Source organism: Homo sapiens, chromosome 12, assembly GCF_000001405.40.
Source record: "Homo sapiens chromosome 12, GRCh38.p14 Primary Assembly".
NCBI classification, from domain to species: domain Eukaryota; kingdom Metazoa; phylum Chordata; class Mammalia; order Primates; family Hominidae; genus Homo; species Homo sapiens.
The window spans coordinates 64,107,559-64,133,836 of record NC_000012.12 but is presented as its reverse complement, the minus strand read 5'-3'; the positions used below and the strand labels follow the sequence as shown (position 1 = coordinate 64,133,836).

The window sequence follows — 26,278 nt, the reverse complement described above, 5'->3', positions numbered from 1 at the left end:
GGAAGCCTACTGCATTCCTACTTAATTTACACAAGCAGAAAACTTCTAGGTTGGATGGACAAAAGACTAATTTGAATTATGAAAACAGAGAATCATGGCCCCTCAATCAATTTCCAGACTTGACCCAGTTTACAGACCCAGAACCCCTTGAATGAAGAGGAGGCCAGGTCCCTTTGAGGAAGGACCCCGCTATATTACTGACAATTTATGCAGTGAATCTTTATCCCATCCTTCCCCAAGGGGACCTCCAGCCTTTTACCAGGGTAACTGTGTAATGGGGAAAGGGAAATGATCAGACATTTTGGGGACTAATGGACACTGGCTCTGAGCTGACACTGATTCCAGGGGACCCAAAATGTCGTTGTGGTGCTCCAGTTAAAGTAGTGGCTTGTGGAGGTCAGGTAATTAATGGAGTTTTAGCTCAGGTCTGACTTACAGTGAGTCTAATGGGTCCCCAGACTTCTCCTGTGGTCATTTCCCCAGTGCCAGAATGCATAATTGGCACAGACATACTTAGCAGCTGGCAGAACCCCCACATTGGCTCTGGACTGGTAGGGTGGGGGCTATTATGGTGGGAAAGGCCAAATGGAAGCCATTAGAGCAGGCTTTACCTAGAAAAATAGTAAATTAAAAACAATATTGCATCCCTGGAGGGACTGTAGAGATTAATGCCACCATCAAGGACTTGAAAGATGCAGGGGTGGTGATTCCCACCACATCCTCATTCAACTCTCCCATTTGGCCTGTGCAGAAGACAGATGGATTCTGGAGAATGACAGTGGATTATTGTAAGCTTAACCAAGTGGTGACTCCAAGTGCAGCTGCTGTACCAGATGTGGTTTCATTGCTTGAGCAAATTAACACATCTCCTGGTATGTGGATTGGAGCCACTGACTTGGAAAATGCCTTTTTCTCCATTCTTGTCCATAAGGCCCACCAGAAGTAATTTGCTTTCAGCTGGCAAGGCCAGCAATATACCTTTACTGTCCTACCTCAGGGGTATAGCAACTCTCTGGCTTTGTGTCATAATCTTACTCGGAGAGACCTTGATTGCTTTTTGCTTCCGCAAGATATTACACTGGTCCATTACATTGATGACATTATGCTGACTGGATCCAGTGAGCAAGAAGTAGCAAACACACTGGACTTATTGGTGAGACATTTGTGTGCTAGAGGATGGGAAATAAATCTGACTAAAATTCAGGGACCTTCTACCTCAGTAAAATTTTTAGAGGTCCAGTGGTGTGGGGCCTATCAAGATATTCCTTCTAAGATGAAGGATAAGTTGCTGCGTTTGGCCCCTCCTGCAAACAAGAAAGAGGCACAACGCCTAGTGGGCCTATTTGGATTTTGGAGGCAACACGTTCCTCTTTTGGGTGTGTTACTCTGGCCCATTTATCGAGTGACTCAAAAGGCTGCCAGTTTTGAGTGGGGTCCAGAACAGGAGAAGGCTCTGCAACAGGTCCAGGCTGCTGTGCAAGCTGCTCTGCCACTTGGGCCATATGACCCATCAGATCCAATGGTGCTTGAGGTGTCAGTGGCAGATAGGGATGCTGTTTAGAGCCTTTGGCAGGCCCCCATAGGTGAATCACAGCGGAGGCCTCTAGGATTTTGGAGCAAGGCCCTGCCTTCTTCTGCAGATAACTGCTCTCCTTTTCTTTTTGAGATGGAGTCTCTGTCTGTCACCCAGGCTGGAGTGCAGTGGCGTGATCTTGGCTCACTGCAACGTCACCTCTCTGGTTCAAATGATTCTTCTGCCTCAACCTCCCGAGTAGTTGGGACTACAGGCGTGTGCCACCACACTTGGCTAATTTTTGCATTTTTAGTAGAGATCGGGTTTCACCATATTGGTCAGGCTGGTCTTGAACTCCTGACCTCGTGATCTACCCGCCTTGGCTTCCCAAAGTGCTGGGATTACAGGCATGAGCCACTGCGCCTGGCCAACTACTCTCCTTTTGAGAGACAGCTCTTGGCCTGTTACTGGGCTTTGGTGGAAACTGAACGTTTGACCATGGGTCATCAAGTCACCATGCAACCTGAACTGCCTATTATGAACTGGGTGCTTTCTGACACATCTAGCCATAAAGCGGGTCGTGCACAGCAGCATTCCATCATCAAATGGAAGTGGTATATATGTGATCGAGCTCATGCAACTCCTGAAGGCATAAGTTACATGAGGAAGTGGCTCAAATGCCCAGGCTGCACTGATGGCCTCATGGGGAGTTCCCTATGATCACTTGACAGAGGAAGAGAAGACTAGGGCCTGGTTCACAGACGGTTCTGCATGATATGCAGGCACCACCCGAAAGTGGACAGCTGCAGCACTACAGCCCCTTTCTAGGACATCCCTGAAGGACAGTGGTGAAGGGAATCTTTCCCAGTGGGCAGAACTTCGAGCAGTGCACCTGGCTGTGCACTTTGCATGGAAGGAGGAATGGCCAGATGTGTGATTATACACTGATTCGTGGACTGTAGCCAATGGTTTGGCTGGATGGTCAGGGACTTAGAAGAAGTATGATTGCAAAATTGGTGACAAATTTGTGGAAGAGGTATGTGGATGGACCTCTCTGAGTGGTCAAAAACTGTGAAGATATTTGTATACCATGTGAGTACTCACCAACGGGTGACCTCAGCAGAGGAGGATTTTGATAATCAAGTGGATAGGATGAGCCATTCTGTGGACACCATTCAGCCTCTTTCCCCAGCCACCCCTGTTCTTGCTCAATGGGCCCATGAACAAAGTGGCCATAGTGGCAGGGATGGAGGTTACTCATGGGCTCAGCAACATGGACTTCCACTCACCAAGGCTGACCTGGCTATGGCCACTGCTTAGTGCTCAATTTGCCAGCAGCAGAAGCCAACACAGCCCTCGATATGGCACCATTCCTCAGGGTGATCAGCCAGCTACCTGGTGGCAGGTTGATTACACTGGACCTCTTCCATCATGAAAAGGGCAGAGGTTTGTCCTCACTGGAATAGACAGTTACTCCGGATATGGGTTTGCCTATCCTGCACACAATGCTTCTGCCAAGACTACCATCTGTGACTCATGGAATGCCTTATCCACCATGATGGTATTCCACACAGCATTACCTCTGACCAAGGCACTTACTTTATGGCTAAAGAAGAGTGGCAGTGGGCTCATGCTCATGGAATTCATGGGTCTTACCATGCTCCCTATCATCCTGAAGCAGCTGGATTGACAGAATGGTGGATTGGTCTTGTGATGTCACAATTGCAACACCAACTAGGTGACAATACTTTGCAGGGCTGGGGCAAAGTTCCCCAGAAGGCTGTGTATGCTCTGAATCTGTGTCCAATACATGGTGCAGTTTCTCCCATAGCCAGGATTCACGGGTCCAGGAATCAAGAGGTGGAAGTGGAAGTGGCACCATTCATCATTATCCCTAGTGACCCCCTAGCAACATTTTTACTTCCTGTTCCCGCGACATTATGTTCTGCTGGCCTAGAGGTCTCAGTTCCAGAGGGAGGAATGTGCCACCAGGAGACACAGCAACAATGCCATTGAGTTAAGATTGCCACCTGGACACTTTGGGCTCCTCCTACCTTTAAGGCAACAGACTAAGAAGGGAGTTACAGTGTTGGCTAAGGTGACTGACTCAGACTATCAAGATGAAATCAGTCGACTACTCCACGATGCAGGTAAAAAAGAGTGTGCATGGAATACAGGAGATCCATTAGGGCGTTTCTTAGTATTACCACGCTCTGTGATTAAGGTCAATGGGAAACTACAATAGCCCAATCCAGGCAGGACTACAAATGGCCCAGACCCTTCAGGAATGAAGGTTTGGGTCACTCCGCCAGGAAAACAACAACAACAACAACAACAACAACAACAACCACGACCTGCTGAGGTGCTTGCTGAAGGCAAAGGGAATACGGAATGGGTAGTAGAAGGTAGTCATCAATACCAGCTATGACCACGTGGAAACAGGGACTGTAATTGTCATGAGTATTTCCTTCTTTCGTTAAAAACATGTTTGTGCATGTATACACTTGTACTAGGAAAATATCTTCATTTTATTTCCTTTTTCCTTTAGCATGTGACATAAGATTATATTGACTTCCTATCAGCATTTAAGTATTGTTAACTTTATGTAATAGCATTTGGGTTGGGGATTGGTGTGTTTCCGGTTATAGGAAAGGACAGTTGTATCATGTTAGGCGTAATTATGACATTATTGTTTTTATTTGAAGATTATGTACGATCTCAGGAGATGTTTATGGGTTCAAGTTGACAAGGGGTAGACTTGTGATGGTTAATACTGAGTGTCAACTTGATTGGATTGAAGGATGCAAAGTGTTACTCCTGGGTGTGTCTGTGAGGGGGTTGCCAGAGGAAATTAACATTTGAGTCAGTGGGCTGGGGAAGGCAGACCCACCCTTAATCTGGATGGGCACCATCTAATTAACTGCCAGTGAACATAAAGCAGGCAGAAAAACATGAAAAGGTTAGACTGGCCTAGCCTCCCAGCCTACGTCTTCCTCCCGTGCTGTATGCTTCCTGCCCTTGAACATCAGACTCCAAGTTCTTCAGTTTTGGAACTTGGACTGGCTCTCCTTGCTCCTCAGCCTGCAGATGGCCTATTGTGGGACTCTGTGATTGTGTGAGTTAATACTTAATAAACTCCCCTTTATATGTATATATATTCCATTAATTCTGTCCCTCTAGAGAATCCTAATATACCTAGGTAATTAAAAAAAAATTTTTTTTTTTAGACACGGGATTTTGCTATATTGACCAGGCTTGTCTCAAACTCCTAACCTCAAGCTATCTTCTTGCCTCAGCCTCCTAAAGTGTTGGGATTACAGGTGTAAGCCACCCACTAGGCCTACGAACATATGTTCTCATGGCCTGTGCTGTGAAAAGAGCCAGAACCAGAGGGAAAAATGGTAGAATGATGGGCAAATTTATTAGTATTGTTTCCCTTTTACTTGGTCAATTTTAGTCATTAGAAGAAAACTACACAGCCCCTCTGCAGTCACTGTTGGGAAGCAAAGACCTGAATGTGTTCAGGAGGTACATAGGATCCAGACTTGTTCTTCAAATATCTATCTATTATTGATCACATTATTTATTAGGTCTCATCTTTTCTAAGTTGAAAGTGCCATCTTTATCATATACAGTAGGGGTTTGCACTATCTGTGGCTTCAGGCATCCACTGGGGGTCTTGAAACATATGCCCTGCAGATAAGGAGGGACTACTGTTTTAAGGTTTTTCTGTTTCTGGGCTCTCCATTCTGTTTCATCCATCTGTCTGTTTTACTAGCTTTAGAATGCATTTAGGATCTGGCAGGGCCACTGCTTTCCCATTCTTCTTTTTCAAAGTTTTTCTGGCTATTCACAATGATAGGTTTGAGTGTCCTGGTCCTACGTTTTTGTCATGTTTCTGTTTAAATCACTATGAACCTTTGGGCCCTTTCAGTAACAAATTGTTCAAAAAAGACTCAGGGCCTAAGTTAAAGAATGAGCTGGTTTTGTTTCTGTTTTCTTTAGTTGGTTCTATACAGAAATATAAAGTAAATAAAGTAAAAAGTAAATAAAGTAAATCTTTCACACCTCCTACATCACACTTAGGTACTTAAAATGCAATATGTAATTAAAAGCATCGTACCTGAGCAATTGTCTCTGGGTCCAGTGGCTTGTGGTCATTGAAGCCCGTGTATTGCCCTGATGACGTGGACCTTCTAATGGGAGGGCTGTCGATCTTCTTGAGGGAGTCGTGCCGGCTGATGTTGGTCAGGCTGCCATGGCCAGGCCTGCGCCTCCGCTCAGGACTGTCATTGTTGAGGCCACGGTTCTGCAGCAGGCCCCGGGGGTGACTGGCAAGGCTTGGGGACCCTAGGTCAACTGAGGAGTTAGAAAGGGCATGTGGAGGGTGGAGCGGGCAATGGCCATCACTGGTCCTGCCAGGACGCCTTACTGGAGGGGGTGGCTCTCCTCTTTTTCGTTGCCTAGACATTCACAGAAACAGGGAGAAAACAGAAGAGCTTATCACACCGGGCAGTACTGCAAGGCTGAGGTGCAGTGGCTCCTCATGGCCCCAGGAGGAGCGGAGGCTTAGGGGCCTGATTCCCAGGCTCTACTTACCTGGCTAAATAGCCGTCAGGATGACGGTCTGTCGGGGAGTTCATGTCCTTGGATGAGGACTTGTCTTCCGTGACTGGCCCACTGCTGGCCTCACTGTCGGCTTTTTGGCTCAGAGTGTCTGAAAACGTATCATCCCTGAAGCAGTAAGAGGAATGGAGACAAAATTTACTAGATTTACAAATTTTACAAAATTTGCTAGATGAGTGGAGATGAAAATTTACGTGATAGCATTTATGTATGAAATAGCATTATGCATGAAAGCCCTTCTTTTATTAAAATAACTTTTCTCTTTTCATTATAAAAGCAATACAATTTCATTACAGGTACAACAGCAATTTCAGTTATACAAAAAAGACTGAAATAATCACCCATAATATAACATCCAGAGACAACTACTGTTAGAATTTTAAGAAATATCCTCCTCCATCTTCTATTCTATGCCTGGGATACATATCTGTGATTGTGTACATACATATGTATGGCATTTATACTACAGTCACGTGTTGCTTAACGGCGAGGATACGTTCTGAGAAATGCGTTGTCAAGCAATCTCATCATTGTGGGAACATCATAGAGTGCACTTACACAAACCTAGATGGTAGAGCCTATTGCACACCTAGGCTACATGGTGGAGCCTATTGCTCCTAGGCTACAAACCTGCACAGCATGTTACTGTACTGAATGCTACAGGCAGTTGTAACACAATGGTGTAAACAAGTATTTGCGTATCTAAACATATCTAAACATAGAAAAGGTACAGTAAAAATAGGATATTAAATCCTATGGGACCACCATCATATATGTGGTCCATTGATGCTCAAAATGTCATTGTGTGGTACATGACTGTACAGATAGTTATGCAAATTTATTTTATATATGAATATATTTATATGTAGATATTTCAGATATATATGACTACATGTCTGCATATACACACATTTCTTGGCTTCCGAGATACACATTTTAACATTTCTGAAATTAGGCTGAATGATTCAGTCACTGTATACCTTTTGTGTGCTATATTTGTCTTTTCCTTAAAAAGCTACTTTTGGACTACACATTATTTTGCAACCTGTTTCTTTCACTTAATATGTTATGACTATCTTCCCATGTCTTTAAATACTTTTGAAATTAGAGCTTTCTCCTCAGCAAAAAACAAAACAAAACAAAAAACAGCATAGCAATGATTCCCTCTGACTTTAGGTCAGTGTCCTTCCTCTGGGGAATCTGGAATTGAAACGGTAAACAGACATCAAGAGAAGAGCACTGCTGTTTTTGGAATTACCAATGTCACTTCAGCTCTTAACACCATTCTATGCATAGGTTATTTTTCTAACAATCTGAAAGCTTCAGAAGATGTCTCCCCAGAGTTCTTGTTCCAAACCTCCTGGGCCCTGACTTACTGTTAGCAAAGAGCCACTGGCAAGGTAAGGAACTGTGCCTAGCTCTGAAGTTTTATCTCTGTAATCCCTTCTGCTCCTTTCTCACAAGACCAAGGTCAGTTTAAGAACAATGGCTGGAGTCCTCTATTGGGAGCACTCAGGCAATCAAAGTTGAGACTACTCACATATCCTGCACCACTATATACTGGTGAGGCACCAGCCCGTCAATCCCGTTGTGCCTGCCTTCCCACCAGTCCTCAGATGCACGGTGATACAGCAGCAGGGAGGCACCCTTCTTGAAGGATAGTTCTCTGGCAGACCGCCCAACATAGTCAAACTTGGCTATTGCTTCTATTGGCTCACATTCTACAACGAACACACCAGAAAACAGCGAGAAACAGGGTTGTTAGGAAGGCATGGTATCCTATCTGTGAGGGCTCTATGAGGCTTCAAATGATCAAGACCATTTTAATATCTAGACTGAACAGAGTCATCAACATATTATCAAGGCAGGAGAAAATAGAGGCTGTTTAAAAAGATACAGAAAAACATTATCTTGCTGTCATCAGTTTTTCAGACAAAGAAAAACTGAACACTGGATTTTCATTTCCACAGCCTCTTACTAGAGATATAATGACAGTCAAAAAAAAATACTTTAAACTTTGCAATAGGATATATAAAATCTCTCCTTGAGTTGTAATATCCTCCACAATTGCTTCAATATGATTTTGGCATTGATAGATGACACTGAGGGAATTTCCTTGTAACATGTTAATACCATTTATAACATGGAAAAAAATCACCATCTCAGAACATTAGGAAGTTTATGCTTTACCGGCTTACTTAAGAAAAAATCAAGTAAAATCACAATAAATAGTATGTGAATACATTTAATTTCCCCATGTGCTCTCTGGCACTATCAAATCTTCAAACTAACACTGACGGTAATCCCGATTTTTTTCTCTAGTATCAGTAACAAATTTTGGATCTTAACCATAAAACAAATATGCCTTAAATTGCCCTCTGTCCAAATTAAAAAAACAGATGCAAAATTTTTATTTTTCTTGAGATCAAAAGATATTCAAGGGAATGATGGTGAGTGAAAAAAGCCAATCTCAAAAGATTGCATACCATACAATTCCATTTATATAGCATTCTTCAAATGACATAATTATAGAGATAGAGAATATATTAGTGGTTGCCAGAGGTTGGGGATGGGAAGGTGATGGAGGGAAGCGGCCGTGGCTACAAAAGGTAGCACAAGGGTTCCTTGTAATGGAACTGTTTGTTATCTTGAGTATGGGTTGTGGTCACACAAAGCTATACATGTGATAAAACTGTACAGATCTAAGTAAACACACACACAAAGGAGTGCATGTAAGGCTGCTGAAACATTTATATAGTGAATGGTTTGTATCATTGTCAATTTCCTGCTTGTGAAATGATATTACAGTTTTGTAAGATATCACCATTGACAGAAACTGGCAGAAGGTATACGAGATCTCTCTGTATTGTTTTTTACAACAGCTTGTGAATCTACAATGATTTCAAAATAATAAGTTAGAAAAAAAAAGATATCAACTGCTAGACTTACAATTGGAATTCAGCTCTGATCTAATTCTGACCACAAATATTGAAGGCAAACAGGAGGACAGACTCAGCAACCAAAGAGGTGTTTCTTTGTGATTTATCTTACTGCAAGAAGCTCCTCAATTTGAGGCCTTATGATCTTTGCTCCCCTCTCCCACAAATACCTCATCCTTAGCCTTGTAATCAACAAAGGTGAGTAAACTTCTCTTCAATAATAAACAGGACAAAAAGGGGCCAAGGCAAGGGGCATATACTTACAGGAATATGCCTATGCAATGAACAATACATCATTTGCTAAAAACTGGGCATGCATTCATTTCCAAATACTCTAGAATACGTGTACACAGAAGAGATTAAAACCTGCCTATCTCAAAAATTCCCCGGGAAGTTGTCTTCTATTTGGTAGCAAACCTTCCCATTTAAAAGAGTTTATTCTTCCAAAAGTTTACTGCAATAGCCATTGTACTTATAATCATTGCATGAGAAATTCTTGGACAGACAGCTGGGCTTCTTTCTCATTTGATATATTCAAAATTCTCTGGGACATAGAAGGCGAAAGCATAAAAACCAACAAACATATTAAAAAGCTTAGGCTTCACCTTATTATATAAAGGCCCTGGCCAAATTTCAGCCAAACATTTTAAATAAAGACAAAGAAAAATGCCCCTTCTTTTTGCTTTGGATAATTTTTTTTTTCTTTTAAACAGTGACAGGGTCTTGCTACATTGCCAAGGCTGGTCTCAAACTGCTGGGCAACATAGCAATCCTCCAGCCATGGCCTCCCAAAGTGCTGGGATTATAGGTGCCTGGTCTCTAGTGGATAATGTTTGAGGCGAATAATATTTTGTATTGCAGAACCACAACACTATAATCTGCACAGTAGGCTTCCCAACAAAGTAGTTGTAAGGATAATGTTTAAAACAACAGTTTAAATCTTTTAGTGGCTGGGTGCAGTGGCTCTCGCCTGTAATCCCAGCACTTTGGGAGGCCAAGGCAGGAGGATCACTGTGTGGCCCAGGAGTTGGAGACCAGTCTGAACAACACAGTGAGGCCTCAGTTCTATAAAAATAAATAAATAAATAAATAAATAAATAAATAAATAAATAAATCCTTTAGCAATTGAATAAAACTTTTAGATTATATGTTAACACTCTGGTATTCCCCCAAATTATATTTTACCAAAACAATATAAATAGCAGCTTTATTAAACATCTATGTGTCTGCTTCATAGAGGAGGGACTATAACTTTATATTTAAAGGGAATGATCTCATTATAGTTCAAAACTTAAAGAATAAATCCTGGTTGACTTGAGATGACAGATACCCAAATATGTACCCCAGTTATTCCTATGAAAAAGAAATAAACACCCCATGGAAGAATGAAGACATGCTAGTTTTTGTTTTTTTGAGACAGGGTCTCATTTTGTCACCCATGCCGGATATAGTAGCACAATCATTGCTCACTGTAACCCCAAACTCCTGGGCTCAAGTGATCCTCCCACCTTAACTTCCTAAGTAGCTAGGACTACAGACGTGGCATGCTAATTTATTTACAAGAACTTCAGGACATGTAATTTGCAAATTCCTGTGTGAACACACCCACATATTTGTATTTGGCTTTACTTACAAAAATTAAAAGATACCAACACATGATACAGTATACAGTCTACATATACTTATGTTACAGAAATAAAGACAGAACCATTAATATTCTTTAATGACATTCAATCACACACTGTCAATGCTGGCCATTCAACATAGTTAAAACTATTCAACAGATATATACATATTTTATTATAATTGCACAATCACGACCTCTATGATCATCTCCTCTTATTATTATTTTATTTTATTTTGAGACAGACTCTTGTTCTGTTCCCAGGCTGGAGTGCAGTGGCGTGATCTTGGCTCACCACAACCTCTGCCTCCCGGGTTCAAGCGATTCTCATGCCTCAGCCTCTCGAGTAGCCGGGACTGCAGGCACGTGCCACCATGCCCCAATAATTTTTGTATTTTTAGTAGCAATGGGGTTTCACCATGTTGGCCAGGATGGTCTCGATCTCTTGACCTTGTGATCCGTCCACCTCGGCCTCCCAAAGTGCTGAGATTACACGTGTAAGCCACTGGGCCTGGCCTTATTATTTTTTTGAAACAAGCAACAGGATTATCAGACTCTGCTTATTTATTCAAATGTGGTCAGGTTATGACAGGATGACCAGATAAATCAGCAGAACATTTTATTGGCAATCCTAGTACATCAACTAGTAATTCTCAGCAATTTCATTATTTTTACTCTTTCTACTCCTGTGAGAGCCATTTCACAGTCAAGTGTCAATCAATAAGCTATTTACACACATCTTAGTCTGGTCATTGCAGAGCAAATCAATCTCAGGGCATGGTACACTGTGCCTCTTTCATATAGAAAGCCTCACAGTACTTCAAGGTCCTGCAGAGACTTCATAGAATGCTGCTACTGCTGCTATCAATAACAATAATAGTGAGAGTGCAACATGATCACTTAGTTTTCCTGCATGGGTAATATAATTTTGTGCAAAAGGGAAGACAATTCAACACAGCTGATTCCCTGACTGCCTGGTGCTGTCAAATCTTATATTTCCATTTCTTGTAATGTTATATAAAATGTGATCACACTTTCTCTTTGGAACCTTGCTGTTGCTGACATTTTTCCTCCTAGATCTGTTACCCACTGTCCTTGCAGAGAATGGTTTTGTTCTGTGATAGCCTGTCTTTCAGAAACAAAAGCTACTCTCTCTAGTGATCCATGACAGAGAAAAAATACAATACCTCGGCAATCAAAGGATAATTGATACTCTAGTTAATTTAGTTATAGGATTTTGGAGGTTGGCTGCGGGTGAGAATATCTGTCCTTTGTAAGCAATGTTTTTCTTTCCAAAAAATCAGGTGAACATGGTCAAAATGTTATCTAAAACACAGAGCACTCAGCAAAGCTCTCTTATAGTCAAGAGGTAAAAGGCAGATGGCATGATGGTGAGATTCATGTTTGGGAAGAGAGATGGCTGGGCTTTGTCCTGGCTTTTCTGGCTACTGGGGAAAGCAGGGAAACACCTAAGAGAAGGCAGCAGTGAAAAAGAAATAAACCATGTGAGAAACAAAGAAACCCAAAAGAAAGGATGGTGGCAGAGGCAGGACTCAGAGACTTTCAAAAGCAACATCACAGGCTGGGCATGGTGGCTCACGCCTGCAATCCCAGCATTTTGGGAGGCTGAGGCAGGAGGACTGCTTGAGGCCAGGAGTTTGAAACAACCCTGGGCAACACAGGAAGGCCCTGTCTCTAAAGAAAAAGAAAAAAAATAAAAATAAAAAAAGAGCAACATTTTAGAAATAGAAGCTCTCACTTTAAAGGATGTCTTGTAAATTAAGTTCAGAAAATGTCAACTGATTTTACTTTTAAAGACACAAGGAAGGCGGGGCGTGGGTGGCTCATGCCTCTAATCCCAGCACTTTGGATCCCAGGAGGATCGTTTGAGCCCAGGAGTTTGAGACCAGCCTGGGCAACATAGGGAAACCCTGTCTCTACAAAAAATACAAAATTAGCCAGGCATGGTGGTGCATGCCTATGGTCCCAGTTACTCAGGAGGCTGAGGTGGGAGGATCACTTGGCCCCAGGAGGTTGAGGCTACAGTGAGCCAAGATTGTGCCACTGTACTCCAGCCTGGGCAACAGAGTGGAAACCCTGTCTCACAGAAAAAAAAAAAAAAAAAAAGACACAAAGAAGCTTTCTTTTTTAGCAGATAGTGGACACTAGATACCTTAATTACCCTCCTGCTAGAATGAACAAAAAATGCTGGATTTAAAAGCAAACAACCAACCTTTGTAATTGCATTAATAAGCTATCAAGACAGTAAAGAATACTAAAGACCAAAATGGAATGAAAGTGGGAACCCAGAGAGGTAAGCAGAACATTAGAACATGAGTCAGATTTTGCCTTGAGGGCATTTTTCTAGCCTGGTCACCTTAAGCTTTTTAATTTTTTTTCATAGGAGATTAAGTCCAGGGCTTGCCCAGTGTTAGGGAATCTAAGCCTCTTCCCCTCCTCCCCACCCTCAGAGAATTACACCCTCAGTTTCAGAGTGAACTTCACTCTAGTGTTCTAGAACTTTCTACAACACTTCTAGTTCTAGAACATCTAGTTCTAGAAATCTTATCCCCTTGTAGCTCTCAATACCTCTCCATAGATTGTAACCATCTCCCCTGCCCTCCACCCCCATTAAGGAAATAACCTATCTTAAACCTTGACACAAATCATCTGAGAATCCCATCCACATTCCAGTTCTCAGGTAGGTTTGCAGTTTAAATTTGCACTACCTGGGTGGTTTGAAAAACTTCAAGCCAAAAATTCAATGTTGTCCTAGGCTGGTTGTAACCCAGGCAGAAGTACATGAAAACCCTCTCTGGAAGAATCTACCTTCCACTGAGCCTAAAGTTCCAAGAAATCTGTACAAAATTTACAAACACAGTGGAAAATAAGACTCAATGAGTGAGAGCCAACAAAACAAATTTGGGAAGACATATGGAAATTATCAGACACATATTCTGATGGGAAGCGCTAATGAATAAATAGCCAGAGACTATAAAAAATGATCAAGCAGCAGATATAAAAGCACATCAAATACAACTTGTAGAAAGAAATAATATTTAAAGGCTGGGCACAGTGGCTCACACCTGTAATCCCAGCACTTTGGGAGGCTGAGGCGGGTGGATTACCTGAGGTCAGGAGTTTGAGACCAGCCTGGCCAACATGGTGAAACCCTGTCTCTTCTAAAAATACAAAAATTAACTGGGCATAGTGGCATGCACCTGTAATCCCAGGTACTTGGGAGGCTGAGGCAGGAGAATCACTTGAACCTGGGAGGCGGAGTTTGCTGTGAGCTGAGATTGTACCATTGCACTCCAGCCTGGGCAAAAAAAGCAAAACTCTGCCAAAAAAAAAAAAAAAAAAAGAAACAAATAATATTTAAAAATAAAAATTCAATGGATCTGCTTAAAGCAGATTAGTTACAGCTGAAGAAATAAAAAAAAGAATTTGTGCATATAGCTAAAGAAGTACTAGAGAAAACAGACAGCTTTAAATGTTTATATTAAAAAGTAAAAAGTGTTGAAAATGAATGCTAAGCCTTAAACTTAAGTTAGAAAATGAAAAAAATCTCTACAGAGAAAGAATAAAAAGTTTATTTGGGAGACATTAAATAACTGGAAATATGTTCATGGACTGGAATATTGAATATTGTAACGATATTAATTCTCCCCATATTAATATAGGTAGAATTAATACAAAGGCAATCAAAACTCCAGTTGGGCTTTAGAGGGTTTTGTTTGTCTGAAGAACTTGAAAAACTGAGTCTAAAATTTAAGTGGAATTGCAAAGAGCCAAGAATTACAAAGCAGAGGTGTTGCTTTATGAACGATTAAGATTTATTAAAAGGTATCAAAACTAGGACAGTGATATAGGGATAGACATGTAGACTAGTAGAAAAGAATAGAGCCCAGGAGGAAATTCACACAAAGAAGATACTTCATTTATGGCAAAGATGTAGAGCAGTGGAGAAAGGACAATTAATGCTGAGATAATTGCGACAATTACATATCCATATAAAGAAAAAGGGAATGGATCCCTACCTCATCCCATACCCCCAAATAAATTGCTGGTGGAATAAAGACTTATGTGTGAAAAGCAAAACCTTAAAGGATTTAAAAGAATATATGGGGCTGGATGCAGTGGCTCATGCCTGTTATCCCATCACTTTTGGAGGGTGAGGTGGGCGGATCACTTGAGGTCAGGAGTTTGAGACCAGCCTGACCAACATGTGAAATGCTGTCTCTACTAAAAATACAAAAATTAGCCATGCCTGTAGTCCCAGCTACTAGGGAGGCTGAGGCAGGCGAATCACTTGAATCCAGGATGTGGAGGTTGCAGTGAGCTGAGATCATGCCACTGCACTCCAGCATGGAGGACAGACAGACTCCATCTCTAAATAAATAAATAAATAAATAAATAAATAAGGCACCAAAGAAGACATATAAACAGCCAACAGGTATATTTTAAAATGCTGAACATCACTAATCATCAGGAGAATGCAAATCAAAACCACATATGAGGTTATCCCACTGTGTTAGGAAACAAACAAAACAAACAAAAGGTAACAAATGTTGGCTGGACACAATGGCTCATGCCTATAATCTCAGCACTTTGGGAGGCCAAGGCAGGTAAATGGCTTGAGCTCAGGAGTTCAAGACCAGCCTGGGGAACACGGCAAAAGCCCATCTCTACAAAAAATTAGCTGGGTGTGGTAGAATGTGCCTCTAGTGCCAGCTACTTGGGAGGCTGAGGTGGGAGGATCACTGGAGCCGGGGAAGTCCAGGCTGCAGTGAGCCAAGATCATGCCACTGCACTCCAGCCTGGGTGACAAAGTGAGACCCTGTCTCAAAAACAAAAAACAAAAACAAAAACAAAAAGATAAGCGTTGCCAAGGATGTGGAGAAATTAAAACCTTTGTACACTGCTGGTGGGAACACAAAATGGCACATCTGCTTCAGAAAACAGCACAGAGATTCCTCAAAAACTTAAAAATAGAACTACCATGTGATCCAACAATCCTACTTCTGGGTATTTATCCAAAATAACTGAAATCAGGATCTTGAAGAGCACTCCTATGTTCATTTCAGCACTATTCACAATAGCCAAGATGTAGAAATGGCCTAAATGTCCACGGACAGATGAATAGATAAAGAAAATATAGGTAAATACAATGGCATTCTATTCAGACTGTAAAAAGAAGGAAATCCCGACATATGTGACAGCATGGATGAACCTGGAGGACATTTTGCTAAGTGAAATAAGCCAGACACAGAAAGACAAACACTATGTAAGTTCACTTATATGAGGTATCTAAAAGAATCCAATTCATAGAATCAAAGGGTGGAACGGTAGTTGCCAGAGGCTGGGGGAAGCGGGAAATGGGAAGTTACTAATAAGCGAGAATAAAGTTTCAGTCAAGCAAGGAGAACAAGCTCTAGAGATCTGCTGTATAACACTGTACCTATGGTCAACACTAAGGTACTGTACACTTAAGTGTTCTTACCAAAATAAAATAAAATAAGAGAATATAGGAGAATTATTTATTACCTCAAGACACAGAAGGATTTCTTAAAGGAGATGCGAAGTAAAATTACCATGAAGGAAAAGATTGATAAATTTAACTACTTTAAAATTAAGATGTTCTGTTTTGCAAAAGACATAATAAGCATTTGAAAAACAAAGCTACAGAGCAGGGGAAGATATCTGCAAAGCATATACCCAGTAAAGGACCTGATGTGGACCCACAAAGAACCCTTACAAATCAAATAAAAAAACAACTAAATACAAAACCAAGCGAAACCAAACAAAAAGAGCCCAGAAAACTCAATAGAAAAATGGGCAAAAGACTTGATAGGAATTTTACAAAAGATAAATAAACACATTATCAACCATGTCTTTTATCTTCTGACCTCTTGGGCCTTGCTGACCTTGGAGGGACAGTCCCTCTAGGGTTAGCCAATTTCTGGAGATAGTAAACAACTCACCCACAAGCAAACTTTCCAAACACCAACCTGCCCATTGGAGCCAACACCCCACCACCCTGATTATCAGGCTCTCCCACTCCAGGCCACTGCTGCCCTATTCTCGGCACCCCAGGGCCAGGTAGGTACCAGACAACTTGGGACATCCCCTAATGCCCCAGAGCCTGCTGAAATTATTCCAACTAGGCAACCCTAAAGCTGCTTACCCTGCCTCACTGATGCCTTCCTGTGGAAAGCACACCAAAGTCTTCACTCTCCCTCTGCCTCCTGATGCTTCCCCAGGTAGCTTCCCATAGCATGGCATGCCCCCTTCTCTGGGGAACTATAAGTAGCAACTGTCTTCATAAAAATGGTTTGACAGTATAGAGTAAAGCTGAAGACACGGTTACTCCTAGGCATACATCCTAGAGAAACTCCTGTACATTTTCAGTAGAAGACATGTTCAAAATGTCCTAACAGTGCATAGCAGCACTGTTCTTAATAGCAACGAGTAGAAAATACCTGACATATTCATCAAGAACGGAATAGATACATACAATGGAATATTATACAGTGGTAAAATAAACAGTTCAAACTGCAAGCAACTGCACAGATGAACATCAGGAACATAATACTGAGTAGAAAAAACTCACGAAAAATATATACAGTATGATCCCACTTATAGAAGATTTAAGAAAATAGAAAAGGAAACAAGAAACTATTTAAAAACACAAACATAGTGGTTACTCCTGAGGGGGTAAGTAAAGCAGTCAGATCAGGGAAGTGCAAAGGAAACAATAAGTCTTTTTTTCTTAAGCTTGGTGGTGGTTTCATTGGTTTTCATTGTAATGTTATTTTTTATACCTTACACATATTTTATGAATTTTTTTTAATCTACTTTTTTTTTTTTTTTTTTTTTGAGATGAGGTCTGTTCTGTTGCCCAGGCTGGAGGGCAGTGGCGCTATCCTAGTTCACTGTAGCCTCAGACTCCTGGGCTCATGCAATCCTCCCAACTCACCCTTCTGAGTAACTGGGACTACAGGTGCACATCACCACGCCTGGCTAATTTTTTGTATTTTTTTGTAGAGATGGGATCTCACTATGTTGCACAGGCTGGTGTTGAACTCCTGGGCTCAAGTGATCCTCCAACCTTGGCTTCCCAACGTGCTGGGATTATAGGTAGGAGCCACTGTGCTTTGCCTCTAAAATGTTAATACAAGCAATTGTTTACAATAGGGATATAAAGACTGGCTTTATAATAGCATAAGGGGAGAGCATACCATCTTCACTTGTGTGGGGCTCTGTACCAGCATCTTGGTCCACTTCCTCCAATGTACCGTGCTCACTGTATGGGCTGTCGCTGTAGAATACAAATGGAAATTCATATGAAATTAAAATAGACAAAAATTTTTTGAGACAGGTTCTTGCACTGCTGCCTAGGCTGGAGTGCAGTGGTGTGATCTTGGCTCACTGAAACCTCTGCCTCCCAGGCTCAAGTGATCCTCCTACCTCAGCCTCCCAAGTAGCTGGGACAACAGGTGTGCACCACCACACCTGACTAATTTTTAATTTTTTTGTAAAGATGAGGGTCTCATTATTTTGTCTGGGCTGGTCTCAAACTCCTGGGCTTAATTGATCCTCCTGCCTTGATCTCCCAAAGTGCCAGGATTACAGGTGTGAGCCACCATGCCCAGCCTGAGAGAATTTTAATAATGAGCAATTGCTACTGTAATGAAAACTATAAGACTCTATAAGGACAAAAGAGTAATTGGATAGTTGTCAATGGAATCCTGGCACCTCCATTGATTATGCTGTCCTACAGGAATATATATTAGATACATACATTCATCTTTGACTAGGTTATTTTACAACTCTATAAAGACAGAAGTTAACTTGTAAAAAATGGATAGCATTATAAGTAATTCTTATCCACAGAAATACAAATTAGTTGAATTCTGGTAGAATATGATTATTGCCCTATGGATAGACCAGTTTTTTACAAATTCATTTTGCTATTCCTTTACTACATATAAATTGGTCATTCTTTGATGTCTCCTTTGAACTGCTTGTGGCATCTTTACCACCTTTTCTTGACACATGTTCATTGCATATCTGTATGAGAATCATGATTTTATCCTCTTTTAAAACTTATCCCTTAACACTGTCACCACCAATCCTCAACTGTGTGCTGATAAATGGAATACATGGGCCACAAATATAAACCTACTATTACTGTAAAAGCCCATTTACATTTCTGATGTTGGGGGACAAGTATAACTACTACACTGTTGACTTCCTGTTTAAAATGAGCAATACCCATAGAAAAAGATAGACACCATCGAGCACACGTTACTGGCTGCAAGACTGTCATGGGAGCTTTACTCTGTCTGGAAAAAGTAGCGATCACAAAATGTCCTAGAATATAAATAATATTGACCAGACATCTACAAACTTGCTCTTTTATAAAATGAACAAGACAGCAGAGCTTACTGACATAGCCCTAATATTTAAAAATGCTAACCAGGCCAGGCACGGTGGCTCACGCCTGTAATCCCAGCACTTTGGAAGGCCAAGGTGGGTGGATCACCTGAGGTCAGGAACTCGAGACCAGCCTGGCCAACATGGTGAAACCCTGTCTCTGCTAAAAATACAAAAATTAGCTGGGTATGGTGGTGGACACCTGTAATCCCATCTACTTGGGAGGCTGAGGCAGGAGAATCGCTTGAACCCGGGAGGCAGAGGTTGCAGTGGGAATACAGTGAGTCAAGATTGCGCCATGGCGCTCTAGCCTGGCAACAGAGTGAAACTCTGTCTCCAAAAAAAAAAAAAAAAAAAAAAAAAAGCTAACCATATCTTTGGTACTGGCCTTAAAACAAATACAATGATGAAAATAAAATCATGTATCTCAGCAGGGTTGAGTTGCATTCATTTACTTTCCCAGAGCCAAGCTCAGTCAGTATCTTTCCCATACTAAGTACTCAAGTAAATATTTTGAATTGAACTTCATGTGTAAAGTTGGTGAATATACTACAGAACTGGAATCTAGGTATGTTTCATTCTTAATTTAGAAAACAGTACTTCTGGAAATAGTCAACTAAGTTTTCTTAAGGCATATGACCATACTATGATTCAAGTTAAAAAAAAAAGTACTTTCAGTTATTTAACTATCTTTCAGCTACTCATTCCACTTCTACTTAATCTTTGGTAAGAAAATGAGAAAGAAAGTGTTGTGAGCAGGGTCCAGAATAAGGGATTTAAACAAACCTATTTCCAGCTGCTCTTGAATCCTAGCTGCACAGGGCAGTTTCTGAGGTGGGCAGGGAGGTTGCTGAGTAAGAAGACTCACATATGCTTTGGAATCACACACACCTAACTTTGATTTACTACTAATCATTGGAAGGCTCCTTGGCCTTTCCTAACTTATTTGGTAGAGTGGTCATGCTAAATAAAAGAGATCATGTGCACTAAGCAGCTGAGATATAATAGGGGTTCAAGAAATTGAAGTTTCTTTCTTTGCTATTTTTTAATTGATATATAATAGTTGTACATATTTTAGGGGTACATGTGATATTTTGATACCCATATACAATGTGTAATGATCAAATCTGGGTAACTGGGATATCCATCACCTCAAACAATTATTTTTTCTTCATACTGGGAACCTTACAATTCTTCTGTTTTGAAATATACATTATTGTTAGCTATAATTTTCCTACTGTACTACTGAATACTAAAGCTTATTCCTTCTAAATTTTTTTATTTTTTTGAGACAGAATCTTGCTCTGTCACCCAGGCTGGAGTGCAGTGGCGCGATCTTGGCTCACTGCAACCTCTACCTCCCATGTTCGAGCAATTCCCCTGACTCAGCCTCCGGAGTAGCTGGGACTACAGGCACGTACCACCATGCCTGGCTAATTTTTGTATTTTTAGTAGAGACGGGGTTTCACCATGTTGGCCAGGCTGGTCTCGAACTCCTGACCTCAAGTGATCTGCCTGCCTCAGCCTCCCAAAGTGCTGGGATTATAGGCATGAGCCACTGCGCCCAGCCTTTTTTTTTTTTCTTCTTTAGAGACAGGGTCTTGTTTTGTTGCTCAGGCTGGAATGCAGTGGTGTGATCAGAGCTCACTGCAGCCTTAAACTCCTGGGCTCAAATGATCTTCCAGCCTCAGCTTCTCAAGTATCTGGGACTACAGGTGCAAGCCACTGCACCTGGCTTATTCCTTCTACCTAACTGTATTTTTATAGCCCTTAACCAACTTCTTTTCATCCTTCCTATTCCCCTTCCCTTCCTAGCCTTTGGTAACCATCACTCTACTCTCTACCTCTATGAGATCCACTTTTTTAGCTCCATATATGAGTAAGAACATGTGATATTTGTCTTTCCCGCCTGGCTTATTTCACTTAACATAATGACCTTCACTGCTAGGTATACATCCAAAAGAAAGGAAATCAGTATATTGAAGAGATATCTGCACTCCCATATTTATTGTAGCATTAGTCACAATAGCCAAGATGTGAAAACAACCTAAGTGTCTAGCACTGAATGAATGGATTAAAGAAATTATGGTATATCTACACAATGGAATATTATTCAGCAATAAAAAGAATGAGATCCTGTCATTTGCAGCAATGGGAGGCAATATTGCCATGCTAAAAATTTTATCCCCAAAATATATTAATATAATAAATTTGCTCAAAATGACCTAAAGGTCTAACTATAATTATAGCTAGAATTATATTCATTAGGAAGAGTGAAAATGAAAAGTTAAGAATGAAAATACATTTGGTTGACAGGGCTCCTTTAAAATGAGAATTTAAAAACACTTTATATGAAACCAAAACCTTTGATTTAGACTGAAAAATAAAATGTCAATCTGTTATCTTTTCTTGATTTAATGTAATGATAAAAGTTAACATAGCTCTACATAACATCAAAACCCTTTTTGTCTACAAAAACCACGATAGGGTAGATTTATTTGAAAGATAAGAGTCCTTGGAGAAAAGAGAGGGATGAATATGAGTTTCCATGGGTCTTAGTATTCTAAAAATTTATTTCAAGTTTTACTGCTTCTTCCTTTTAAGTTGGAAGCATTGGTGGCTTATGGGAAACTCTTTCTTCTAATCAAATTGATAGCTATATTTCCATAATTTTCGGTGGGAGAGGAGGACTAAAATTCTTAGACTTACCAATAGTCATCTCCAGCCATACATTTCTCATAAACAGGGCCATCCAGCTCTTTAGCATCTGGGAAAATAGTCTCATGGTGGATGATGATGGTTTTGATAATTTCATTCACATGTGCCTGGCAAGACACTTGATCCTGTATTTCTGGGACAGGCATCAATGTTGGGCCAAAGCAAATGGCCAGGTTATAAGGGTCCATCATATTCTCATCGCTGTACTGTGATAGACTACAAAAGGAAACAAGAAAGGAGTTATAAAAGAACAAAGAGAAAAAAAGGATATAAATGTTTAATAACAAGATACTTCAATACTTTAATAAGATACTTCAACTTTAAGTTGGCTCAGCAAACTCCAAAGAAAGTGAAATGACTTATGACCTTAACTAAGTAGAAATTGAGAGGGGATTCTAAGTCCTATTTGCTTAACTAAGTAGCATTTTTCAAAGTCAGGAGGGGGTTTAATATAATATTCACTACAATGGAGACCAGGATCACATAAATGAGTTTTATTTGCAAATGTGACGGTCAAGCTCTAAATGTTCCTCAAGTAAATTTAGGATACACAGTGAGGATTTCCATAAAGCTTTATGGATGTCTTTAAAATTGTCTTCTCCCCACTCAAATATATCTCAGATTTTTAGTTTTCTCCTATAAATCTTGGAGAAAGCCTAGAAAAAAACAAAGAACCTTTTCTTTGTAACTACTGAAAGGAGCCAATAACTCCAGGCTTTATAATCTGCTTTTGGGTAAGACATTCAACACTAGGTGACAACCAGTGTCACAAAAGCCATTATAAATACAAGAAAAGGGGAAAAGAATCCTCAGTTCTCTTATTCTATGCAAGGCTTGCAAACTGTGGGGGAGATTTCCAGTTGTCTAGTACTAATTTCTACATTCTACTCAATGGGTATTTGTGAAATATTTTCACAGTGACTCAAAATAAGCCAGCTCTTTATTGCTATGCTCCTTGTTCTAGGGAGAGTTTAGATATGTTATCTTTCAGTGTATAGAATGTCAATCTTGAAAGGAAATGTAAAATCCAGGTGAACATATGACAAATGGAAGGAGAAAAAGGAGACTCAACTACCTTTGTGAGGTGATGACAGATACAAAGAAACTGAGATACCACATGACATGATACTTTACCCTTTTTTTGGAAATAAGATAGTCTAGGAAGTAGAAAATACAAAAGCATAATTTCCATAGCTAACATATGTCTTTCCCTTCTGCCATTTCTCAAACACACAATATTTTTTAAAAAATCACAATAACAGTAAATGATCATATTACAGATCATCTTGAAAATGGAGATTCTGAATAAGAATGGCCTAATTTCCAAAAGACATACTTCAGCTCAGTGGAGACAGTCACAGTTAATCTTTCTGGGTCTTTAGTGCTGGCTTGCAAACAGAAACTTGATGTAAAAATGTTACTTCCAAGTTTTGATTTTGCAGTAAAAAATAATAGCTAATTTCTCTTTTCATAATCCCCATCCCAAGCATCCTGCCCTAGAGGCTGGGCCCTTGTGTCTGCATGAAGGCAGGTGCAACCAGCTAGGGGGCCTCTGGGTAGAACCACTGGAAGCAATAACAGCAACACCCATGGTGCATTTGCCATTCTTTGAGATGCATGATGAGTTAGGTTCAGGTTTTGAGAACTTTCTTAATTAACAGACTGCTTTCCTAGTCCATTATGGATTATTAGTTCACAGTGGATTTTGTTCAGGTGTGTCAGGAAGATTTGGTAGGAATGGTATGGAGGGGGCCAGCAGGAATGCAAGGTACTCCATCCTGGTGTATGGTGGTGGTGGTGATGGTGGGGCAACAGGCAAGCCTCTGGACTTTTAAAACTGCCTGAGTGAGTGTGTTTCCTTAAAGGTAAAAATGTATAGTGTCTAGCCTAACCATAGTTTAAACTTAACTCTCTAGATACTGCTTTTTTCCAGTGGTGATTAATGTACAAAGGGGTTGCTACTGTCGTTTGTGAATGTTTTAGGCACCACAGGTCAGCAGTAGAGTCTCATTCTGTATGGTTCTCTGCCAACATTTCCCTATTGTATGATACTTGGCTCTTGGGGTCAAGCTGAGTGGGTATGATTTCAGGACTAGTCAGCGGGATTGTAATAAATCACCGTGGCTTCTGAGAACTCCAAATGTCCCATGAAATAGAGAAAAGAAAATATCCGAATTTTAGGAAAGGAGAATCCATGCTAGCATGAGAAGGCATTTCCCCAAGTTTACTCAATAAGTTGATTCCCCCTGCATTTCTTTGTTTCCAGCTGCTTAGCTGAAATGTTGAATAGCAAGAGTACTCTTAGATAGGACTTGGGGAAGCTGTTCTTATAATGGAACCCATACAGCAGGAAGTAGCATAGCTGAAAATCAAGTTGCTGAAATTAAAAGAATAAAGTTCTTTGAAAATAATGTAGTAATTTAAAAGATTTGTTACTCTGTTTAGGAGAACATTTTGAGGTATTTTCTTGTTGATAAGGTCTCATTACAGTGAATTTGCAGAAATTCTTTTTTGGATCTGTGTACAGCTCCCATCTATGATTTTCTTCCATCCTCAACTACAATATTAAAAAGTCGCAGAAATTTTCCGCAATGAACAGCCAGTTTACATCATTTTGACAAAAACATTCATGACAGTTTTGGATGAAAGTCTGAAAAACACTGAATAACACTTCTCACTGAAAAGTTGTGGTTTTTTTTTAGTAATATTTAAATATCTTTGCATTTGTGGCCACAGTTTTTACATCTGGGGTAGGGCTTTCATCTATCAATGATGTTGATCTGCTGAGGAAAAATGTACCTTCAGTACATTTTTCAATGTATATTCAATCATTTTTCTCTTTGACTCTGCTGATAAATGGAACCCAACGTACATTTTACAGGATCGAAGAACAAAGACAGAATTCAGATGGGCCTTTTGTCAGAGCATTCAGGTACTTACTGATTGAGGAAGGCAAAGAGGTACCTCATCACTATAAGGACCGACCTGGGCAAAGTCAGGAGGAGTTTGCGGATGTGAAGCGCCCTCTCATAGAGATTATCTATTCCTACAGACAGAAGATGACATGGTCAGAGTCCTTTCACTTGCCACATTTAAAACAGAACACTGCAGTACATGTATTACCGGTACACATCTGAATATAAGCAACACCCTGCTCTTGTGTGAGATCCAATTGTAACCAAAACAGCGAATAAATGATCGGCTTGGGTATACCACCATTCCAGAGGGCATCTCCTCTGACCCTTACCGTTTTCTCCGATTTTCATGGACTTGGCTTTGAGTAATTTAGAGTCTTCTAGATTTAAAAACCATTTTTTCCTTTGCTGCTAATTCTAAATTTTGCATCTGATATGATTTCAACTTCTTGCTGCATGCTAACCAAAGTAGCTTTCTGGGGCATGGCACCTCTCCCCGAACTGTTATGCATTAATTCATCATATATTTGTCTATAATTATGATCCAGGCAATGTGCCAGGTTTAGAATCTCTCCTTTCTCAAAATTACCACTGCATTTTACTTATATGACTTTTCACCTTGTATTACATTATACCATCAATATTAGGAGAGCCCACCAGGTTTCAAGCACTAAGAATACATTAGCAATACAATTCCTGCCTTCATATGATGCATGTCCTGATGTTTATAGCTATTTATTTCCTTATCTCGTCTTCCCTGTGGGATGGTGAGCTCCCCCAAGACAGGATTACCTGAGACTAGTGTTATGCTACCTCTTTACCAGGAATACAAACTGTCTAAAGTGTCTGAATACTAAAGTGCTTGTGAACATCAGCAAAAAGGTTACTACTACAACACATTATTTGTATAATTCTCTATATATTTAAAAACACATTTTCACACTTGCTATCTAAGTTAAAAGGAATAATAAACTTTGCAGTAGGCAGGGCACACACTGTCATCCCCATTTATCAGATTAGGAAAATGAGAACTGGGCAAGTGGCATACCCAAGGTCAGCGGGCTAGAAGAGGCAGACCTGGGACTGCAACCTATGTGTCCTGTTTCATAAGTCTGTTTCACAAGTCTGTTTTCTGTTTCATAAGTCTGGTTGCCTTTCTTGGATCCCAAGACTACCACTTTGTAAAGCTGTACCTTTACAAAGTACAACTTTGAAGATACCCAATAAGCATACATTTGAGAAAATATTTCCAAAAAAGTATTATGTTTGAAAACAGTTCTGAAGCTTCCTATACTTTTATATCACCATATTGTTCTTAATTGCTTGAGATATTCATGAAAATACTTGAAAATTCTCAGTCCATAGCCTCTGACACCATAGTCAACTCATTCTCATTATTATTGTTGTTTTTTAAACCTTCTTCCACCTATAAATGTGGATAACTCTCAAAGATATCTACCTGGTTCTCCTCAATGGCAACCTCATCCAGTTGCAAGGTTACAAA

The 26,278-nt window shown here is 40.4% G+C and overlaps 1 protein-coding gene and 1 long non-coding RNA gene across 3 annotated transcripts in view; one reads left to right on the top strand and one right to left on the bottom strand.

The window, feature by feature from the left end:
- Positions 1 to 26,278, bottom strand: part of SRGAP1 (SLIT-ROBO Rho GTPase activating protein 1) — a 317,518-nt gene that overhangs the window by 28,381 nt on the left and 262,859 nt on the right. For both annotated transcript variants that reach the window (NM_020762.4, NM_001346201.2), the window contains exons 16-21: positions 24,800 to 24,905; positions 21,851 to 22,075; positions 17,944 to 18,023; positions 7,680 to 7,860; positions 6,113 to 6,247; positions 5,637 to 5,976 (exon numbers count right to left, since the gene is read on the bottom strand). In NM_020762.4, coding sequence (NP_065813.1) covers positions 5,637 to 5,976; positions 6,113 to 6,247; positions 7,680 to 7,860; positions 17,944 to 18,023; positions 21,851 to 22,075; positions 24,800 to 24,905 — 1,067 coding nt within the window. The remainder of the gene's footprint in view (positions 1 to 5,636; positions 5,977 to 6,112; positions 6,248 to 7,679; positions 7,861 to 17,943; positions 18,024 to 21,850; positions 22,076 to 24,799; positions 24,906 to 26,278) is intronic.
- Positions 3,105 to 26,278, top strand: part of LOC105369798 (uncharacterized) — a 31,313-nt gene continuing 8,139 nt past the window's right edge. Inside the window, exon 1 of the long non-coding RNA XR_945018.2 lies at positions 3,105 to 3,663. This is a non-coding gene — a long non-coding RNA (uncharacterized LOC105369798). The remainder of the gene's footprint in view (positions 3,664 to 26,278) is intronic.